We start from the raw sequence: 20,519 nt of genomic DNA, 5'->3' as shown, positions 1-20,519 counted from the left end.
GTTACTATCTTGTATTTGTTTCTCCAATGTCCCCTCTAAGGAAATCTGTAGGCTGTTTATTCTTTCCTACTGATAAGTATAACTTTTAACTCTGGGGATGTCGGTCAGCTTTTTTGAAATGATCTTGGTGCTAGAAAGACTTGTAACTGTTTAAGGGTCTCTCTTCCACTAATCTTATCCTCCTAAACTTCTGCCATACTTGTGACATGTGAAATGCAGGGGTGTTCTGAGTAGGTTTCTGCCTTCTCAGCATAGTGCTTGGCACTTTGTAGGCCCCCAGGCCCCCAGTAAATAATTATTGCAAGAATGAATCTCAGCTCGGTGCAGTGGCTCACACCTATAATCCCAGCACTTTGGGATGCCAAGGTGGGCAGATTGCTTGAGTCCAGGTGTTTGGGTCCAGCCTGGGCAACATGGCGAAATCCCATCTGTAGAAGAAATGCAAATATTAGCCAGACATGGTGGCACATGCCTATAGTGCCAGCTACTAGGGGTGACTGAGGTGGGAGGATCACTTGAGTGTGGGAGCTGTGATCGTGCCACTGCATTCTAGCGTGGGTGACAGAACAAGACCCTCTCTCAAAAAAAGAATAAATTTCAATTTATGTCCCTGGAGGACTGGCTTGAAGATGTTAAAGAAAACTCTAAGGGCCCCCTTTACACCTCTTGTTTAAAGCCAGAATCCACTTAACTAGCGCTAGACCCTTGCGGGGTGCCCTACCTGCATCTCCCCTAATTATATAGCCAATACAAAGAATTAACCTCCCATAGCTCACTGAAAGAAGAGAAAATAACAAATAATATCGTATAAAGAGGCATTTCTGAGGTAATAGATGTTATTTAATTATAAATTGAGTATTAGATGATAACGAAATTTTGTGAGCAGTTAAACAATGGCAGTGTGGTTCTGTAGAGCTATGTCTGCATATTGAGCTGAACCGTAAGAGTGAAATGGGGTGACGCCAAGGATTGTCTTTAAGATACCAATGGGAATGGTAGAGAAAGAACCTATGAAAAGCCACTCTTTAAGAACAATGAGAACAACAAATATGTCAAAATGAACTCCAGAATTCAGGAAATTAACCAAAGGCAATGTGGGAAGTTTTACTCAAGAAAACCACCTGAATCTCAGCAAGAACAGCCTGCTTTGTAGCATTTCCACTAACCCTAATTTCATCTCATCTCCCAAACTTTGTGTTAGCCTTGACAACCAACAGTGCCACAATCCCAGGGAAAACCAGCAGCCACTGGAGGGTGTAGAAGGGGCTCTGAAGCTCCCTCAAAACACCATCTGCTGAGAATTGTTATTTGACCTGACAGTTCTGTGTGGCATTTTTCTGGAAACCCCCCTTCACAATGTTGCAGAATTTTGCTCCTTCAGCTAAAATTGGGATCTTGTCACACAACCAGGAAAATTTGGGCATGCAGACACATTGAAGGGTGAGTAGAGCAGGATTTTATTGGAAAAAAGAAACCTCAGCAAAACAAGATGGAGTGCTGTTAATAGGCCCCCCACCCCACAGATTGATTCTGAGATCAGTCACCACACAAGCTGAAGAGAGCAGGCTCCTCCCCTGTGAGACACAAATTCCCTGGGGCTCCATCCACTTCCCCCAGTGCGTATGTTGGGCTCCAGTCCTTTGTGGGCATGCCCAGACAAGCCCTGGACAGGTTCCCTCATGTGCAAAAAAGCATATGATATAAACACTTATGGGGCGAGGCGAACATTCTCAAGGGACCCTTTTTTATCTGCCTAGGCATCTGGCTGTCTTATTCCCTCCTCTAAAGAAGTACATCTAACTGCTTTTAGAATAAGGATAAGGATAAGGATGAAGATCGAGCTTAACTGCTTCCTGGTAACAAGCAGTGCTATTTTGGGAAAATGGCAGTCAGATTTCCCTCAGAGGCATACCTAAGGGTCCCTGGCAAAAGGGACCATCCTCTGAGGCTGCTTTGCATGACTATTTGGAATTTGACGGCCCAAAGGCTAGAAGAGACAAACTGGGTTATTGGAAAACATATCAAAACAAAGCAGGGCGGGGGTAAGGACAGCTCAGAAATCCCGAGGCCTTTTACCAGTTTGCACACGGAGAAAGAGGCCAAAAGCCCCACTGGTAAAAGACCTTTTACCCTTTTGCCAGCATGTCAGGCTTCTGGGTTGCCTTCCCCTAAGCCCAATCCTAAGCCAAAGTCTAAGGTTTGGGAAATTAATTCTTCCCAGTTTGGAGGATGCATCTCAGGGGAGTGTCCCATAGTATGGAGACATAATTGCTTATTAGTGAAGAGAGGACAGGAGGAAAAAGGAAAAAAGGTGTTTTTTCCAGAGGAGTCCCAGATGTTCAGGATGCATTTGAAAGTGGTACAGACTGGCCGGGTGCAGTGGCTCATGCCTGTAATCCCAGCTGTTTGGGAGGCTGAGGCAGGTGGATCATCTGAGGGTAGGAGTTTGAGACCAGCCTGAACAACATGGTGAAACCCCATCTCTACTAAAAATACAAAAATTAGCCAGGTGTGATACACACCTGTCGTCCTAGCTACTCTTGAGGCTGAGGCATGAGAATCTCTTGAACCTCAGAGGTGGAGGTTGCAGTGATCTGAGATAGTGCCACTGCACTCCAGCCTGGGCGACAAAGCAAGACTCCATCTTAAAAAAAAGAAAGGAGTACAGACTGAAGATGAATGTCTACTCATTTAGAACGAGGGGAATGAGGCATTCCAGGTTCCCTTCTCTTCCTAGCAAATACCCGGGGTATGTGAGGGGGGGAAAGCAAGGTGTCACTCTTTCTGTCTTCTGTCCTTATATCCCCATTTCCCAGCAACCGTGACATGGTGCCACCCATGGGTGTCAAAGCGGCTTTCACCCATGTTAACGGGGGCCTAGGGTGTGGGAGTATCCACTCTTACCCATGTACACCGTACCTCCCCTGCTATCAGTAGTCTTTGAATTCCCTAGACCTTGTTTATGCTATGGATACTAGCATGACCTTTATCCATGAAATGGGAAGCTTGGCTTTATTGCCAGGAATTAGTCATGCTCACCTATGCTGTGCCTTTTAACCTCCATATCTGCCTCTGGATCCCTCAGACCCAGTTTTCTTTCCAAGGGCTTCAACTCGAAGCTTAGAATTGAGTTTGGGACAAAATTGTGTCTTGAGGGGTTGCACTGACTCCTCATCATAAGCCAAATGCTAAGGTGAAGCTGTGGGATTGAGTCCTCCTCCAACAAGGGAGAGAAAAGAATGTCCTGTTACACACCCAGATAACTGGTGGCTATAGTTATGCTTGCTAAGATTTGGGTGCATGGGGCTTGGCTTTGGTTAGCTCCCTTGGTCTTACTTTCCCAAAAAGGAAACCCCCATGTTATGAGCACCCTATTTATTCCCATCACCTGGCAGGATTCGCAGGATAATTGCTCAAAACTAGACTATTGATCCAGATTTTTATATCACCCATTCTCTTTTGTTCCTTCTGAGCTGCAGCCAGAGATTTCTGGTTAGTTCACAGCAACAAGCATGGTTAGTCTAAAATGTAGGCAAAAACTTAAAAACAACTAATGAGTTTATAATTTAATGACAAATGTATAAGTTTTGAAATATAATTTCTCTCTCTCCAGTCCTCATTTTTGTTAAAAAAAAATCATGATAGGACTGAGTTGTTTGCAAAATAGACTTTAGTCTTGTACTTAGCCTGATTATTGCATAAAGTGCAGTAAGAATAACTATATCTACATAGGCCTTTTAGATTGGCTTTGGTGGAACTCTGTTCCACAAGAAATCTCAGATAAGATCTTTTAAAGCTGAGCCCAGTCATAGGTTTGTATCCTCAGATACCTGTGAGTTGGGTGATCCTCTCCTCTTAAGGTCCCAAGATAAACTTGGAGCTCCTGGGCCTGTTAGAAAGTGACATTCTTTACTGACTACAGGTCAGGAAGCTGTAGTCTACAGGGACTGTGTAGACAAGGGCATGAAGCCAGTTTTCCTGAGGGGCTTTTATTGGCTCTGCAAGTCGAGCTTGACTCCTTAAAGGGAAGCATATCCTTCCAGTCAAAGCCTTGGTAAAACAACCAGTTTCTCCGGTTGCATCCTGTTGCAAAAGAAAATGGATTTTTCTTGCACCAATGCAAACAACTATATTGCCATAAGTTAAGAATACTCACAAGTAGTTCCCAAATTCTGGAGAAGCCAGGCAGAGAGAGAGAGACAAATATGCTCCAAATTTTGTTCACAGGAGTATACCTTACTCAATTATTAAAGGCTATAAATAGCTCAAAATAAGTTTCCTTGACTCTGAAAAACAAACAAAAAAAAACAAGGACCAGCAATATTCCAAGCAAAAGTCAAAAAGATTACTTCAGTTTTCTACTAGTTCACTCCATTCAGTTAACTCTTGTTTTGCTTGATATTCATGAACATTTCAGCTCTTCATGACTCCTGTACATTTTTCCTTTATCCCAGTGTCACAATCTCCAAAGTTATTAGAAACCTGTATTTGAGAGCACCTGTCAAAGATATACAGCTGATTATAAACGATCTTTTGAAGAGGATCCAAACAAGACAACAATTGTCTATGATAACAAAATGTCCAGAGTAGTTACAGTTAGAAACATAATTGACAAAGACATAACCCCCTTAATTATGATTGATAGCATATACTTCAGACATTAGAATTTTAGAAATCCCAAGTAATTTTGGAACATATAGTAGTAGTATTCACTAAAATATAACCTAAAGAAGATTGAATATCATTTTGACAATCCCATGTACCTAAACATGTCAAATAATCCTGTTTACCTCTCTTTTGGATACTCCGGGGGCCCTTTTCACATCCAAAATCCAAGCATCAGGAAAGACTATTTTGAAACTGAAGTTTGATTATTTTGGGGAGCCTGTTAAATACGTTAGAGGTTTAAAACACTTGATGTTATGAAACAGAATTCCAGATTACTGTAAGTTATTTATTTTGCCAAAATGATGACTCAGAAATTTTGAAAAAGCAAAAACTTTTTATAACCCTTTACAAATTTTGCTAGAGATTAGTGTCTTAAGAGGACTTTGTTGTGCTTTTATTTCAATGCTCAATTTATAGAAAAACCATATAATACCTTTGTGAATTTAGTCAATATGTTCCCACATGGAATTTCTTTTGCAAGATTAATTTTTACAGTCCTTCCACAACTTGTTTGAACTTTTAGCTTATCTAATTCAAGGCAATCCTTTAACTTAGGCAAGAATTTACATTTCCACACCTTCTTATAATCTTTTTCTAAAGACTTACTTTACTGTTCTTATGCACCTCTCATGTAAATCTATTTCCAGTAGTTTCAATTACATTATAATGGTAACTCCTAGCAATTTGTAACTTTAATGTAAAACCTGTTAAGATGTTTTAATTACGTGCTAGGTGCAGCCAAGTTTTGACTCCTTCCAGCATAATTAAGGTTGTGGTTAATTCCGTATGTCCCCAGGGCTTACCAGTTGTGAAACAGGCAAGTCAAACAGTTCTCAAAGACCAAAAAAGCAGTTTATTACCTTAAAATATTTAGCAAACTTAGTATCTGACCTGCATAATTTAGTCCACCTATTTACATTTTGATCACATCTGCATTTTACCAGTAATCTTTAAGACTGTTTTTATTTCTCAAAGATTAAAGTCATGTAAACTGAAAGGTACCACACCTTTTATCCTCCCTTTTACAAAATATTTGATTCAAGTGCTTATCCTTCTTTAAGTAAATTAGAGCTCTTTTTTATAGATGTCACATGCACACACATATGTAACTACACAGACAGGCAGAAGGATTTTTAGCAGCCCTAAGATTTTTCATTTGCCAATCTCCTAATTGGATTATTGGCCTCCAGGTGGAGCCCTTTAAGAGACAGGGCTAGAAAAACATGCAGCTTCTAAGGCCTAATAAACAGGCATAGGTTGGGCAAAAACAGATTTTGAGAGGGATCCAACCACTTTTAATTCCTGGGGTTCCATGAGGAAAACAAGTTTCTTCCCAAAATGGAGTCAGTGGTGCCTTCTCTGTTTTTCCCAAGTAGTCCCATGCCCCCAGGAGTTATCTTGGGGCTTGTCATGCATGCATTGAGAGTGACAAGGCAAAATGAAGAAAAATAATTCGGTCGACTGAGAAAAAACCCTTTTTCCAGCAAAACAAGATCCAAGAAAAGAAAAACATAAAGGCCTTTTAAATATACTGATAACTTAGATATCCACTTTTAATTAACCTGAGTGCTCTTTACTAAAATCCTTTTAAATCCCTTGTTATCTGACTTTAGACATACCAAGCGGCCATATTATTTGCTTTCAAACTTTACTAGAGGCTCAGAGAAAGGAAAATCCAAAGTGGTTCATGAGGGGAAGAGAATCAACAAATAGCAAAGGTTGCACAGACATCAGACCAGAAAGGATACATTCCCTAAGCCAGGATTGAACCCAGCTGCCATTGTAAAATGGGCTAAACAAAACATTGCCACATGGTTACAGGTCATGCTCTCAAGGATGTAAAACAAGATGGAGGCCTGCAGCGAAGTTTGCTGCTGACTATACAGAAAGTCATGCAAAGCACACCAGATTGGCTACAGCTTAAGACAAACCTTACAGATCCTTTTTCATAGTTAAAACTTTACAGAGAATATAAACAATGATCCTTATCATTTCTGGCCTAGTAAAATGTCTTCTAAAAAGAAAAAAGAAAAAACTCTTACTTAAAAGTTAACTGCTGACAGGGTAGAGAAAAGGAAAAAGTTTAAAGTGCAGGGTTGGAAAGACACCTGGAGGAAGAACCTCTTACTCTTAAATGCAAGTGGGTTCTTCCAACAGGGAGAGAAACTTAAGAGGGGAGCAGGGGAGCTGCCAGTTTGCCTGTCTATCCAGAAAAAGAAGGAAAAGGCTGACATTCCCAACCCCTGGGAGCAACAGTGGTTGGGGGGGGAGGGAGGCATAGTTTTCTCTACCTTCAGAAGTTCGAGGACAAAAAGGCTTAGAAGCAAAAGGAAAAAAGTTTTTGGTTTGCATCTTACTCTTCCTCAAGTCCTACATCTGGGTGCCAAAATGTAGCAGAATTTTGCTCCTTAGTTCAGCTAAAACCAGAATCTTGTCACACGATCAGGAAAATTTAGGCACGTGGACACATTGAAGGGTGAGTAGAGCAGGATTTTATTGGGTGAAAGGGAAAAAAAGAATAAAACTCAGCAAAGCAAAATGTAGTCCTGCTAACAGGCCCCCCCCACCTCACAGATTGATTCCCAGGTCACCACACAAGCTGAAGAGGGCAGGCTCCTCCCTTGCATAAGGGGTGAATTCCCTCTGGCTCCACCCACTTCCCCCCATGTGCATATCAGGATCCAGTCAGTTATGGGCATGCCCAGACAAGCCCTGGGCAGGTTCCCTCTGTGCAAAAGTATCTGATGTAAACACTTGTGGGGCAGGTTGGAGATTCTCTGGGGACCCCTTTTTATCTGCCTAGGCATTTGGCTGTCTCAATAAGGTTTGTCTTTATTTGACCTGACTGAGCGCTCTCTCATTGTGAACAGTCTTTTCTCTGGATGCATTTGTCAAAAACAATCAGTGACAAGAGTTTAGTATCACAGCTGCCTGAGGCTGCAATAACAACTGAAGCAAATAAACAGCTGACTTAAAACGTAGAAAGGAAAGTTTGGAAAATAAGATATCCACATTGGGCTTTGAAAAGCTCTGACATATTCCTGGAAATCTAGAAGGTGACATGCATGCTCAGTGTTGTGTGTATGCCCAGGTAATACCTAAGATGGCCCTAATCTGTCACCTCTGTCTGACCTTGAGGCTTCCGGCAAGCAGGGAGTGAAGGCACGGTAGAGTTGTAAACTGCCTGCAAAAGCATTGAAAGTGTGCTCCAACATGCACGTAGAGCTCACTTGGCAAAGGCAGGGAGACTTACTTGTTTGAGGTAATTATGGAAACCTCTGTCTAATCATAAGCTAACCACTAAACTAACAGTAAAACTTCAAGGATCATACACAATATATTACAGATGACATGATCTTGCGTATAGAAAACCATAAGAAATCTACTAAAAAGCTATTAGAATCAGTAAGTAAAATCAGTGAGGTTGCAGAATACAAGATCAACATGCAACACTGCATTTCTATACAGTAGCAATGAATAATCTGAAAATAAAATTAATAAAATAATTCAATTTACCATAGCATAAAAAAGAGCAACACACTAAGAAACACATTGAACATAAGAATTGTAAGACTTACATTATAAACTCTAAAATATCATTGATATACCCAAAAGAATTGAAGGCAAGGACTTGAACAGATATTTGTACACTCTTGCTCATAACAGCATCATTTATAATAGCCAAAAGGTAGAACCAACCCATGTCCATTGACAGATGAATCAATTTTAAAAATGTGGTATATACATACAATGGAATATCATTCCACCTTAAAATGGTAGGAAATTCTGACACTTGTTACGATACAGATGAACTTTGAGGACATGATGCTAAGTGAAATAAGGCAGTCACAAAGGGACAAATACTATATGATTCCACTTATATGATGTACCTAGAGTAGCCAAACTCATAGTGACAGAAAGTAGAACAGTTTTTGCCAGCGGTAGTGGGGAAGGGAGATGGAGAAATTGGAACTCTCATATATTGCTGGTATAAAATGTGACAACCACTTTGATAAACCTTTTAACAATCCCTCAAAAGCTAAATACAAGGGTGGGTGTGGTGGCTCATGCCTGTAATCCCAGCACTTTAAGAAGCCAATACAGGTGGACCACTTGAGGCCAGGAGTTCGAGACCAGCCTGGCCAACAGGGCAAAACCTTGTCTCTAAGAAAAATACAGAAATAAAATTAGCCGGATGTGGTGATGCACGTCTGTAATCCCAGCTACTCAGGTAGCTGAGACACGAGAATTGCTTCATCTCAGGAGGTGGAGGTTGCAGTGAGCCAAGATCATGCTACTGCACTCCAGCCTGGGCAACAGAGCAAGACTCTGTCTCAAAAATATATATGTAAAAAAGCTAAAAACAGTTAAACTTTATGACCCAGCAATTCCACTTCTTAGTTATATACCCAAGAGACTTGAAAACACATCTGTGCAAAAACTTGTACACAAGTATTTATAGAAGCATTATTCATAATAGTCAATAGCAGAAACAACCAAACTGTCCAACTAATGAGTGGGTTAATAAAATGTGTTAAGTCCATATAATGGAATATGCTTCGGCTATAAAAAGGAATAAAGTACTGATATATGTTACAACCTGAATGAACCTTGAAGAAAATAGATACTAAGTGAAAGAAGCCAGACACAAAGCCCCATATGGTGTGATTCCACGTATATGAAATGTCCAGAATAGACAAATCTTCAGAGACAGAAAGTAGATGAGTGGTTTCCAAAGGGATGGGGGAGGGAGCAATGGGGAGCAACTAATAGGTGCTGGGTTTCTTTTCAGTGCAGTGAAAATGTTCTGAAATTAGATGGTGGTTCTTGAATAACTATGAATGTACTAAAAACCACTGAATTGCACACTTTAAAAGGGTAAATTTTATGGTGTGTGAATTATATCTCAATGAAAAAGTATAATATGAATTTGAAATATGTCAATGTAGGGAAACAACTTAAAAAATTTGTGTTTCAACTTCTGCAATTTCCCAGGGACAAAATTGTTTTTTAGATTGGTAACTTGAAATATTATAGGGCATAGAGTCAGTATTATAGTTTGGAATTCTGACAGTGTAAATATGTTTTCTCAGTTTAGTTCAGTTTCTTTACCTTTGTATGTATACCAATATACATAAATTAAGTCATCCCATAGTGCATTGAAGAAAATAAAATGTTGATGGGCCAAGCATGGTGGCTCATGCTTATAATCCCAGCACTTTGGGTGGCTGAGGCGGGTGGATCACCTGAAGTCAGGAGTTCGAGACCAGCCTGGCCAACATAGTGAAAACCTGTCTCTACTAGAAATACAGAAATTAGTTGGGTGTGGTGGCGTGCACCTGTAGTCCCAGCTACTTGGGAGGCTGAGGCAGGAGAATTGCTTGAACCCAGGAGTTGGAGGTTGCAGTGAGCCGAGACTGCTCCACTGCACTCCAGCCTGGCAACAGAGCGAGACTCCGTCTAAAAATAAATAAATAAAATGGTGATGAATAAAAAAACATACTACAGCTAAGGAAAATAGGGGGCATGGAGACAAGGAAGCAAATAAGGTGAAATCGTGGTACTCGTTGAATGGTGATAGGTGTGTGGGAGTTCATTGCCCTATTTTCTATTTCTGGTATGTTTTAAATTTTTCATGTAAAAAAAATTCCTTTGTTCTCCACATCAAAAGTATTTCCCCAATACCCTGTTTTAAAATGCCAGGGAGTGGAAAAGTTTGGGCACTCTCTAAAGATGTCCTTGATGTTGCCAGAATTCCAATTCAAGGATGATAGATGTGGAAGGAGTGTGTGGGGCCCACTGTAGTGAATATTTATTGACTCTATCACAGTACTTTGAACACAGCTGTGAGATTTAGGCCATCTGGATTAGTTTGCTAGGGCTGCCATAACAAGATGCAGTGATTTTGGCTTGCCTATGGCCACCTGCTCGCTGAATCTTCCTGTGGCCTTTTCTCTGTTCATGCATCCCTAGTGTCACATGTGTGTCCAGATTTTCTCTTCTTATAAGGACACCAGTCAGAATGGATGAAGGCCCACCCTAATTACCTCATTTTAACTTAAACTGCCTCTTTAAAGGCCCTATCTCCAAATACAGTCACATTCTGAAGTACTGAGGGTTAGGGCTTCAGCACATGAATTTTGGTGGGACACAGTTCAGAGCATAACACCACCCAAGAGCCTGTATAAACTTTATTAATTAAATGTTGAATTAATATGTAATTATTTTATTTTTTGAGACAGTGTCTCACTCCATCACCCGGGCTGGAGTGCAGTGGCATGATCACGGCTTACTGCAGCCTCAAACTCCTGGACTTGGGTGCACCTCCCACCTCAGCCTCCCAGGTGGCTGGGATTAGAAGCGCCACCATGCCAAGCTAATTTTTTGTATTTTTAGTAGAGATAGGGTTTCGCCATGTGGCCCAGGCTGGTCTTGTACCCCTGGGCTCAAGTGATCTGCCTGCTTTGGCCTCCCGAAGTGCTGGGATTATAGGCATGAGCCACCTGGTCCAGCCCAATACATAGTTCTTTCCAGCAGTTTTTATACGACTAAACCTTTGATCAGTGATATTATCTCCCTAATTATAATATTTGAATGGGAAAATGGTTTTCTTTGTAACAACTGACTTCATGGCATTTTAAAGGAAAGTTTGGTTGCTACAAAGTAGCTACTTTTAAAATTCCTAATAAGGAGTTTAGTATTCTCTCCTGAATCTTTTGCTTAAACCTCTCTTTTAAATGCTTTGGCTATTTTAACTTCTGATACGTAGAATCAAAGAATATTAGCATTAGAGACCTTTGAGGGCATGCAATTCAGGGATATGGAATACGTTTCAGTTGTGCACCATTACCCATCCAGTGACGCTGGTCGCTGTGTTGAAAAGGCTTCCTAGGCTGAATCTGGGCTCAATCAGTGAGAAACAGTATATACCATACCCAGTGCAGCCTAGTGTCCTCATAGCTGTCAATCATCATTCACCATATGTTTGAGAACCTCTGTGTGCCAGGCACTTCTCTAGGTGCTGAGGATATGGCAGTGAATAAGACAGAGTGAGCCTGCCTTACCAGAATTTATGAGTCAGAGGAGCAGGGTTGGGGGAGTAGGGGAGAAGACAGATAATAAGCACATCAATAAATAGAATAAGTCAGATAGTGCTAAGTATAATTTTCATGTGAGTCTGTGTGAAGAGACCACCAAACAGGCTTTGTATGAGCAATAAAGCTTTTAATCACCTGGGTGCAGGCGGGCTGAGTCTGAAAAGAGAGTCGGTGAAGGGAGATAGGGGTGGGGCCGTTTTATAAGATTTGCATAGGTAAAGTAAAATACAGTCAAAGTGGGGTTCTCTGGTGGGCAGGAGTGGGGGTCACAAGGTGCTCAGTAGGGGAGCTTTTGAGCCAGGATGAGCCAGGAGAAGGAATTTCACAAGATAATGTCATCAGTTAAGGCAGGAACAGGCCATTTTCATTTCTTTTGTGGTGGAATGTCATCAGTTAAGGCAGGAACCGGCCATCTGGATGTGTACGTGCAGGTCACAGGGGATATGACAGCTTAGCTTGGGCTCAGAGGCCTGACATTCCTGTCTTCTTATGTTAATAAGAAAAATAAAATGAAATAGTGGTAAAGTGTTGGGACTGCGAAAATTTTGGGGGGTGGTATGGAGAGATAATTGGCGATGTTTCTCAGGGCTGCTTCAAGCGGGATTAGGGGCAGCGTGGGAACCTAGAGTGGGAAAGATTAAGCTGAAGGAAGATTTTGTGGTAAGGGGTGATATTATGGGGTTGTTAGAAGAAACATTTGTCATGTAGAATTATTGGTGATGGCCTGGATATGGTTTTGTATGAATTGAAAAACTAAAGGGAATAAAAGAAGGAGAAAAACAGGTATTAAAGGTCTAAGAATTGGGAGGACCTAGGACATCTAATTAGAGAGTGCCTAAGGAGGTTCAGCATAGCCTTGCCAGCAAAGATTATTTATTTACTTTAAGAGTTAAGAGTGGCGGTTTGGGGATAGTACCAGGAGATATCAGCTGTGATGGCTTGGAGAAACAGTGTAAACCGGCAGTGTAATCAAGAGCAGGGCATGTATGAGTAGTTGAGAACGGTGAATAGGAGTATGACTAGAGAGAAGATAGTAGGGATGACAAGTTTTTTGGGGCACAGTCTAAGTTGGTCTGGTGTCTGGAATGAGACTGGGGCCTAATAAAAAGGAGCATCTATACAGGAGCTTAAATGGGCTGTACCCTATAGCATTCCAAGGACAGGCCTGAATTCTGAGAGGGGAAAGTGGTAAAAGTATTGTCCAGTCCTTTTTAAGTTGGTGGCTGAGCTTGGTGAGGTGTGTTTTTAAAAGACCTTTAGTCCGTTCTACTTTTCCTGAAGACTGAGGACTGTAAGGGATATAAAGGTTTCACTGGATACTAAGAGTCTGAAAAACTGCTTGGCTGATTTGACTAATAAAGGCCAGTCTGCTATTGGACTGTATAGAGGTGGGAAGGCCAAACCGAGGAATTATGTCTGACAGAAGGGAAGAAATGACTGCGGTGACCTTCTCAGACCCTGTGGGAAAGACCTCTACCCATCCAGTGAAAGTGTCTACCCAGACTAAGAGGTATTTTAGTTTTCTGACTTGGGGCATGTTGAGTAAAGCCAATTTGCCAGTCCTGGGCAGGGGCAAATCCCCGAGCTTGATGTGTAGGGAAGGGAGGGGGCCTGAATAATCCCTGAGGAGTCATAGAATAGCAGATGGAACACTGAGAAGTTATTTCCTTGAGGACAGATTTCTACGATGGAAAGGAAATGAGAGGTTCTAAGAGGCAGGCTAGTGGCTTGTACTATAGCATAGCCTGCCTTTGCTGGTGTGTGGCGATTAGGCCTGGTGGAACTGCCATCAATAAACCAAGTGTGATCCGGGTGAGGAACAGGAAAGAAGGAAATATGGGGAAATGGGGTGAATGTCAGGTGGATCAGAGAGAGACAGTCATGGGGGTCAGCTGTGGTATCAGGAATAATGTGGGAGACCAGATTGAAGTCTGGGCCAGGAACAGTGTTAATTGTGGGACTCAACAAAGAGTGAGTACAGCTGAAGGAGCCAAGGAGCAGAAAGTATATGTGTCAGGTGTGAGGAAGAAAATAGATTTTGTATGTTATGAGAACTGTAGAGAGTGAGTTGAGCATAGTTTATGATTTTAAGGGCCTCTAAAAGTATTAGGGTGGCATCGGCCGCTGCACGCAGACTTGAGGGCTAGCCAAAACAGTAAGGTCAAATTGTTTGGATAAAAAGGCTACAGGGCACGGTCCCGGTTCTTGTGTAAGAATTCCAACTGCACAGCCCTGCACTTTGGCTGTGGGTAATGAAAAGGGTTGGGATGAGTCAGGGAGGGCTAGGGTGATGGCAGTCTCTAAAGCTGTCTTCAAGGAACAGAAAAAGGAGTGGGGAAAGGATGTAGGAACTATGGGGTCAGCTAGGTTTCTTTTTGTGAGTTTATATAATGGTTTTGTTAGGATGGCAAAACCAGGTATCTAAAGTCGAAAGTATCCAACCATGCCTAGGATGTAGAAGGTGTTGGGGTTTGAGAGATCAGTCAGACACGATCAGCAGGGAGTGCACATGTGTTTTTATGAGAATTACACCGAGACAGGTAACAGATGAGGAAGAAATTTGGGCTTGACTGAAGTAATGGGGGCTGTCAGTGAAGGCTTGTGGCAGTACAGCCCAGGTAAATTGCTGAGCCTGATGGGTGTCAGCGTCAGTCCAAGTGAAAGTGAAGAGAGGCTGGGATGAAGGGTGCAAAGGAATAGTAAAGAAAGCATGTTTGAGATCCAGAACAGAATAATGGGTTGTTGAGGGAGGTATTGAGGATAGGAGAGTATATGGGTTTGGCACCACGGGGTGGATAGGCAAAACAATTTGGTTGATAAGGCGCAGATCCTGAACTAACTTGTAAGGCTTGTCTGGTTCTAGGACAGGTAAAATGGGGGAATTGTAAGGAGAGTTTATAGGCTTTAAAAGGCCATGCTGTAACAGGCGAGTGATAACAGGCTTTAATCCTTTTAAAGCATGTTGTGGGATGGGATATTGGCATTGAGCGGGATAAGGGTGATTAGGTTTTAGTGAGATGGTAAGGGGTGCATGATCGGTCGCCAAGGAGGGAGTAGAGGTATCCTATACTTGTGGGTTAAGGTGGGGGGATACAAGAGGAGGACGCAAAGGAGGCTTTGGATTGGGAAGAAGGGCGGCAGTGAGATGTGGCTGTAGTCCAGGAATAGTCAGAGAAGCAGGTAATTTAGTTAAAGTGTCTCGGCCTAATAAGGGAACTGGGGAGGTGGGGATAACTAAAAAGGAGGGCTTAAAAGAGTATTGTCTAAGTTGGCACCAGAGTTGGGGAGTTTTAAGAGGTTTAGAAGCCTGGCCGTCAATACCTACAACAGTTACGGAGGTAAGGGAAACAGGCCCTTGAAAAGAAGGTAATGTGGAGTGGGTAGCCTCCATATTGATTAAGAAGGGGACGGACTTACCTTCCACTGTGAGAGTTACCCAGAGTGTCTGTGATGGTCCTGTAGGCTTCCGAGGCGATCGGGCAGTGTCAGTCTTCAGCTGCTAAGCCAAGAAGATCTGGGAAGGAGTCAGTCAGAGAGCCTTGGGCCAGAGTTCCAGGGGCTCTGGGAGTGCTGCCAGGTGAGTTGAACAGTCCGATTTTCAGTGGAGTCTTGCACAGATGGGATGTGGCTTAGGAGGAATCCTGGGCTGTGGGCATTCCTTGGCCTAGTGGCCAGATTTCCGGCACTTATAGCAAGCTCCTGGGGGAGGAGGTCTTGTAGGAATGCTTGACTGCTGAGCTTAGGTGTGTGCGGCTTAGGCATTTTGAAGTTCTTGTATGCTGGAGGTGTGGCTGGGTTTTGTCTCAAAGCAGAGGCAAGTAATTGTAACTCAGAAATGTATTGCCGTCTGGCTGCTTCCTCTCTATTATTGTACACCTTGAAGGCGAGGTTGATTAATTCCTGTTGTGGGGTTTGAGGGTCAGATTCTAATTTTTGAAGTTTTTTCCTAATGTCAGGAGTGGATTGGGTGATAAAATGCATATTGAGAATAAGACGGCCTTTTGACCTTTTAGGGTCTAGGGCTGTAAAGCGTCTCGGGGTTGCTGCCAAATGAGCCATGAACTGGGCTGGGTTTTTATAAAGAGCCTAAACGCTATCTGATTTGGGATAAAGAAAAAGGAGCATTAAACTTGTCTATACCTTTAGCTCCAGCCACCTTTTTAAGAGGAAATTGCTGGGCAGGTGGGGGAGGGCTAGTCACAGAAGGAAACTGTAAGCTGGACCGGGTGTGAGGAGGGGAGGTGATAAAAAGGATTATAGGGTGGAGGAGCAGAGGCTGAGGAAGAACTGGGACCTAGCTCGGCCTGGCAAGGAGGGGAGAGGTCAGATGGGTCTGTAGAAAAGGAAGATTAGAAAGACTCAGCGATGCTTGGGGTTGGGACTGAGGGGACAGGCAGGAGGGAAAGAAGGAAGATTTGGGACGAGTTGCATTGGGAACAGAGACCAGGGAGGGACCGATGTGTAAAAGAATGCCTGGACGTCAGGCACCTCGGACCATTTGCCCATTTTACGACAAGAATTATTTAGATCTTGTAGGATGGAAAAATTGAAAGTGCCATTTTCTGGCTATTTGGAACCACTGTTGAGTTTGTATTGGGGTCAAGGGCATTGCAGAAGAAAATAAGCCATTTAGGTTTTAGGTCAGGTGTGAATTGAAGAGGTTTTAGGTTTTTAAGAACACAGGCTAAGGGAGAAGAAGAGGGAATGGAGGGCGGGAGCTTGCCCATAGTGAAGGAGGCAAGCCCAGAGAAAAGAGAGAGTAGAGACATGGAGAAAAGGGGTGGGGGGTTCTTGCCCCCCAGAAAAGCAGTGAAGGGGTAGAGACACGGAGAGAAGGGGTCGGGGGGGTTCTTGTCCCCCAGAAAAGCAGAGAAGGGGTCGGGGCATGGAAATAAGGGGTTGGGACGCAGAGATAAGAGGTTGGGGCTTGGAAAATAAGGGGTTAGGGCACAGAGATAAGAGGTTGGGGCACGGAAATAAGGGATCGATGTGCAGAAATAAGAGGTCGGGGCATGGAAATAAGGGATTGGGGCGCAGAGATAAGGGGTCGGGGCGTGGAAATAAGGGATAGAGAGAAGGGGTAGAGACAGGGAGACAAGGGGTCAGGGTTCTTGTCCCTCCCCCAGAAAAGTGGGACTTGCCGCTAAGGGTGAAGGACCAAGGCAGGCGTCCCTGCGTGGTCAGACACCTCTGAAACGTGGGTGAATAATCAGAGAGGCGTCCCTGCAATGATTAAACACCAAGGGAAGGCTGCCTTCCTGAGTCCGTGACCGGCGCCGGAGTTTTGGGTCCACGGATAAAATGTGTCTCCTTTGTCTCTGCCAGAAAATGAAAGGAATTGAAATTAAGAGAAGGGAGAGATTGAAGGGTGGCACCAAGATTGAAAGGAGAAAGTGGTTGAGGGATAGTGAGAGAGGTTGGAGAAGAGAGTAAGAGGAGGCTGCTTATCCAATTTAAAATTGGTGAGATGTTCCTTGGGCTGGTGGGTCTGAGGACCCGAGGTCGTAGGTGGATCTTTTTCATGGAGCAAAGAGCAGGAGGACAGGGGATTGATCTCCCAAGGGAGGTCCCCAATCCGAGTCACAGCACCAAATTTCATGCACGTCTGTGTGAAGAGACCACCAAACAGGCTTTGTGTGCGCAATAAAGCTTTTAATCACCTGGGTGCAGGCGGGCTGAGTCCGAAAAGAGAGTCAGTGAAGGGAGATAGGGGTGGGGCCATTTTATGATTTGGGTAGGTAAAGGAAAATTACAGTCAAAGGGGGCTTGTTCTCTGGCGGGCAGGAGTGGGGGTCACAAGGTGCTCAGTAGGGGAGCTTTTGAGCCAGGATGAGCCAGGAGAAGGAATTTCACAAGATAATGTCATCAGTTAAGGCAGGAACAGGCCATTTTCATTTCTTTTGCGGTGGAATGTCATCAGTTAAGGCAATCAGTTGAGGCAGGAACTGGCCATCTGGATGTGTACGTGCAGGTCACAGGGGATATGATGGCTTAGCTTGGGCTCAGAAGCCTGACAATAATAAAGAAATGAAAATATAAGGAATGAAGAATTCCTAATTCAACAATTATTACAACACCCTTGTTTCTCAAAAGGAGGTAAAAAATTCCTCCCGAGGGCTGTGGCAGAGATCAGAAAGGTATTCAAAGACAAATAAGTAAATATTTGAGTGTTAAAGATATTATGATTAAGGATATGACAAAACATTTTATAAACACGTGGGTCTCTTATGAAGTACAATCCAAAGTTTGCATACAATTTAAAACAAAAGCAAGAAATGTCACGCTTTGGGAACACTGTTTTTCTCACACTAAAATGTTCTATCTGAAGCAAGGGGAAGTGTCCAAATTATAGTTCACAAAATACCTTTATTTTCTCACAACAAAATCATCCCTAGTCAGCGGCCCAACATTACTCATTTCTGTCATCAAAAACACCCTTTCTGTGGGTTGGTATGAAATATCCGCAGGCATCACAAGTACTATAAGAAAGGGCTTTTTCAAAATGTCCTGTACTCACTCCTCTTCTAACCTGGGTAAGTTTTCTGTACACAGAGAGTACCGTGTCCTCCTACTGTGTAACAGTAGGGTCTCTTTCACTCGTGTCCATGTGAAGAGACCACCAAACAGGCTATGTGTGAGCAGCAAGGCTGTTTATTTCACCTGGGTGCAGGCAGGCTGAGTCCGAAAAGAGAGTCAGCGAAGGGAGATAGGGGTGGGGCCATTTTATAAGATTTGGGTAGGTAAAGGAAAATTACAGTCAAAGGGGGGTTGTTCTCTGGCAGGCAGGGATGGGGGTCACAAGATGTTCAGCAGGGGAGCTTTTGAGCCAGGATGAGCCAGGAGAAGGAATTTTACAAGGTAATGTCATCAGTTAAGGCAGGAACAGGCCATTTTCACTTCTTTTGTCATTCTTCAGTTACTTCAGGCCATCTGGATGTATACGTGCAGGTCACAGGGGATATGATGGCTTAGCTTGGGCTCAGAGGCCTGACAGTCTCATTTTGATGAAATGTAATGTTGATATTTGGTCAAATTTATTATAACAGTGTTCTATTTAAAGTGTCCAAGGTTTGAAATAATGTGCTTCAGTAACCTACAATTACCTTTAGGAAAAGCACACCCCATACTAATGATGTTAGACTTGTGCAAGGCACAATGGTCATATTTGTTATTTTTTGTTTGTTTGTTTTTTTGAGACAGAGTTTTGCTCTTGTTGCCCAGGCTGGAGTGCAATGGCATGATCTCAGATCACTGCAACCTCTGCCTCCCGGGTTCAAGCGATTCTCCTGCCTCAGCCTCCCAAGTAGCTGGGATTACAGGCGCCCACCACCACGCCCAGCTTATTTTTGTATTTTTAGTAGAGACAGGGTTTCGCCATGTTGGTCAGGCTGATCTCAAACTCCTGACCTCAGGTGATCCACCCGCTTCGGCCTCCCAAAATGCTGGGATTACAGGCGTGAGTCACCACGCCTGACCATTTGTTAAATTTCAAAGTGGTATTTCTCAAAGTGTAACCATGAACCATGCATATCAGAATCACCTGGGTGTTTGTTACAAGAGTGATTCAAGAACCTGTTCCTTACCATCTGAATGGGAAGTTTTGTGTGAGACCCTATGCATATTTGAGCACTGGAGCCCTGAAGCCTTTAAGGACCTGTCTTAGTCATTGCCATTCACTATCTGAGAATCTTAGCACCTCTTTCCCCTAGGCGTTTTTATTTATAAGCCAACATAGACAAAGATAACAACAAAGAAACCCAAACAGAAAAACAGGTAGAACTAAGAATACATAGATTACTTTTAAGAAGCATTAATGGGGAGTGAATTTAAAAAAAGAAATGGGAATTTCACATGTGCCTCTAAGAAATAAAATTGCTATGTACATGTTCATGTGTATTTATATATATAGCTCCATAACCCCTCATCCAAAACCTTTGGGTCTAAATGTATTTCAGAATTTGAAATTCTTTTTTTGCATTTTGGAAGGTTAATAGGATTTATATACCATGTGTTATATGTCCCCATTAAAGCCAGCAGCAGCACCTTATAAGTCAAACAAGCATATGAAAATTTGTTTGGCAAAAACACATATACTCCATGACCCAGCCTTTTCACTCCTAGGTTTATATTCTTCCAACAGAAATAAGCACACACGCACATGTAAAACAGATGTGCACATTATAGAAGCTTTATTTGTAATAGCCCTGAATTAGAAACAACGCAAGTGAACATCAACATTAGGTAAATTTTGTTATAAACAATGGAATACTATGAATTACAGCCATACAGAGATAAGTATCTCAAAAACAATGTTGACTGAAAGATACCAGACACAAAAATGCATAATGTATGATTCCACTCAGACCAAATTAGAAACAAACTATGAGATGGTGGTAATAGTGGTTATCTTCGCAAGGTGACACTTTTGGGGTGATGGTAAAACAGTTCTTGATCTAGGTGGTGGTTATATAGGTGTGTTCATTTTGTAAAAGTTCATTGAAAGCCTATGTGCATGCTATACCTGAATTTAAAAGTTAAAAAAAAAAAATGCTGCCACTTTACTTAATTAGCTATCGTCTTGTTTCCATAATCCATTTGAATCTTTCAAATAGATTCAAATATTTATGGAGCCCTACTAAAACGCCAGGGACTACACTAGGCATTAAGGATACCTAAAGAGCCTTATTTATTTATTTATTGAGATAGGGGCTCACTCTGTCACCCAGGCTAGAGTGCAGTGGCACAATCTTGGCT

General features: G+C 42.6%; 5 annotated features.

The window, feature by feature from the left end:
* Positions 961-2,160: an enhancer, noted in NCBI's record as "MED14-independent group 3 enhancer chr13:48646101-48647300 (GRCh37/hg19 assembly coordinates)". NCBI's record gives its function as "activates an origin of replication core promoter dependent on BRD2, BRD4, P300/CBP and CDK7 cofactors, and independent of MED14, by STARR-seq in HCT116 cells {active_cell/tissue: HCT116}" and the evidence as "EXISTENCE:reporter gene assay evidence [ECO:0000049][PMID:35650434]".
* Positions 1,329-1,829: an enhancer, noted in NCBI's record as "H3K27ac hESC enhancer chr13:48646432-48646932 (GRCh37/hg19 assembly coordinates)". NCBI's record gives its function as "activates a minimal SCP1, AML or CMV promoter by ChIP-STARR-seq in naive H9 embryonic stem cells {active_cell/tissue: H9 hESC(naive)}" and the evidence as "EXISTENCE:reporter gene assay evidence [ECO:0000049][PMID:30033119]".
* Positions 6,900-8,099: an enhancer, noted in NCBI's record as "MED14-independent group 3 enhancer chr13:48640162-48641361 (GRCh37/hg19 assembly coordinates)". NCBI's record gives its function as "activates an origin of replication core promoter dependent on BRD2, BRD4, P300/CBP and CDK7 cofactors, and independent of MED14, by STARR-seq in HCT116 cells {active_cell/tissue: HCT116}" and the evidence as "EXISTENCE:reporter gene assay evidence [ECO:0000049][PMID:35650434]".
* Positions 7,168-7,547: an enhancer, noted in NCBI's record as "active region_7722". NCBI's record gives its function as "activates an Ori minimal core promoter by ATAC-STARR-seq in GM12878 lymphoblastoid cells {active_cell/tissue: GM12878}" and the evidence as "EXISTENCE:reporter gene assay evidence [ECO:0000049][PMID:35858748]".
* Positions 7,178-7,472: an enhancer, noted in NCBI's record as "tiled region #3717; HepG2 Activating DNase matched - State 14:Gen5', and K562 Activating DNase unmatched - State 17:Gen3'". NCBI's record gives its function as "activates a minimal TATA promoter and a strong SV40 promoter by Sharpr-MPRA in HepG2 cells, with weak activation in K562 cells {active_cell/tissue: HepG2 | K562}" and the evidence as "EXISTENCE:reporter gene assay evidence [ECO:0000049][PMID:27701403]".

This window comes from Homo sapiens, chromosome 13, assembly GCF_000001405.40.
Source record: "Homo sapiens chromosome 13, GRCh38.p14 Primary Assembly".
Lineage (NCBI taxonomy): Eukaryota > Metazoa > Chordata > Mammalia > Primates > Hominidae > Homo > Homo sapiens.
This window is presented reverse-complemented; position numbering and strand designations above follow the sequence as displayed.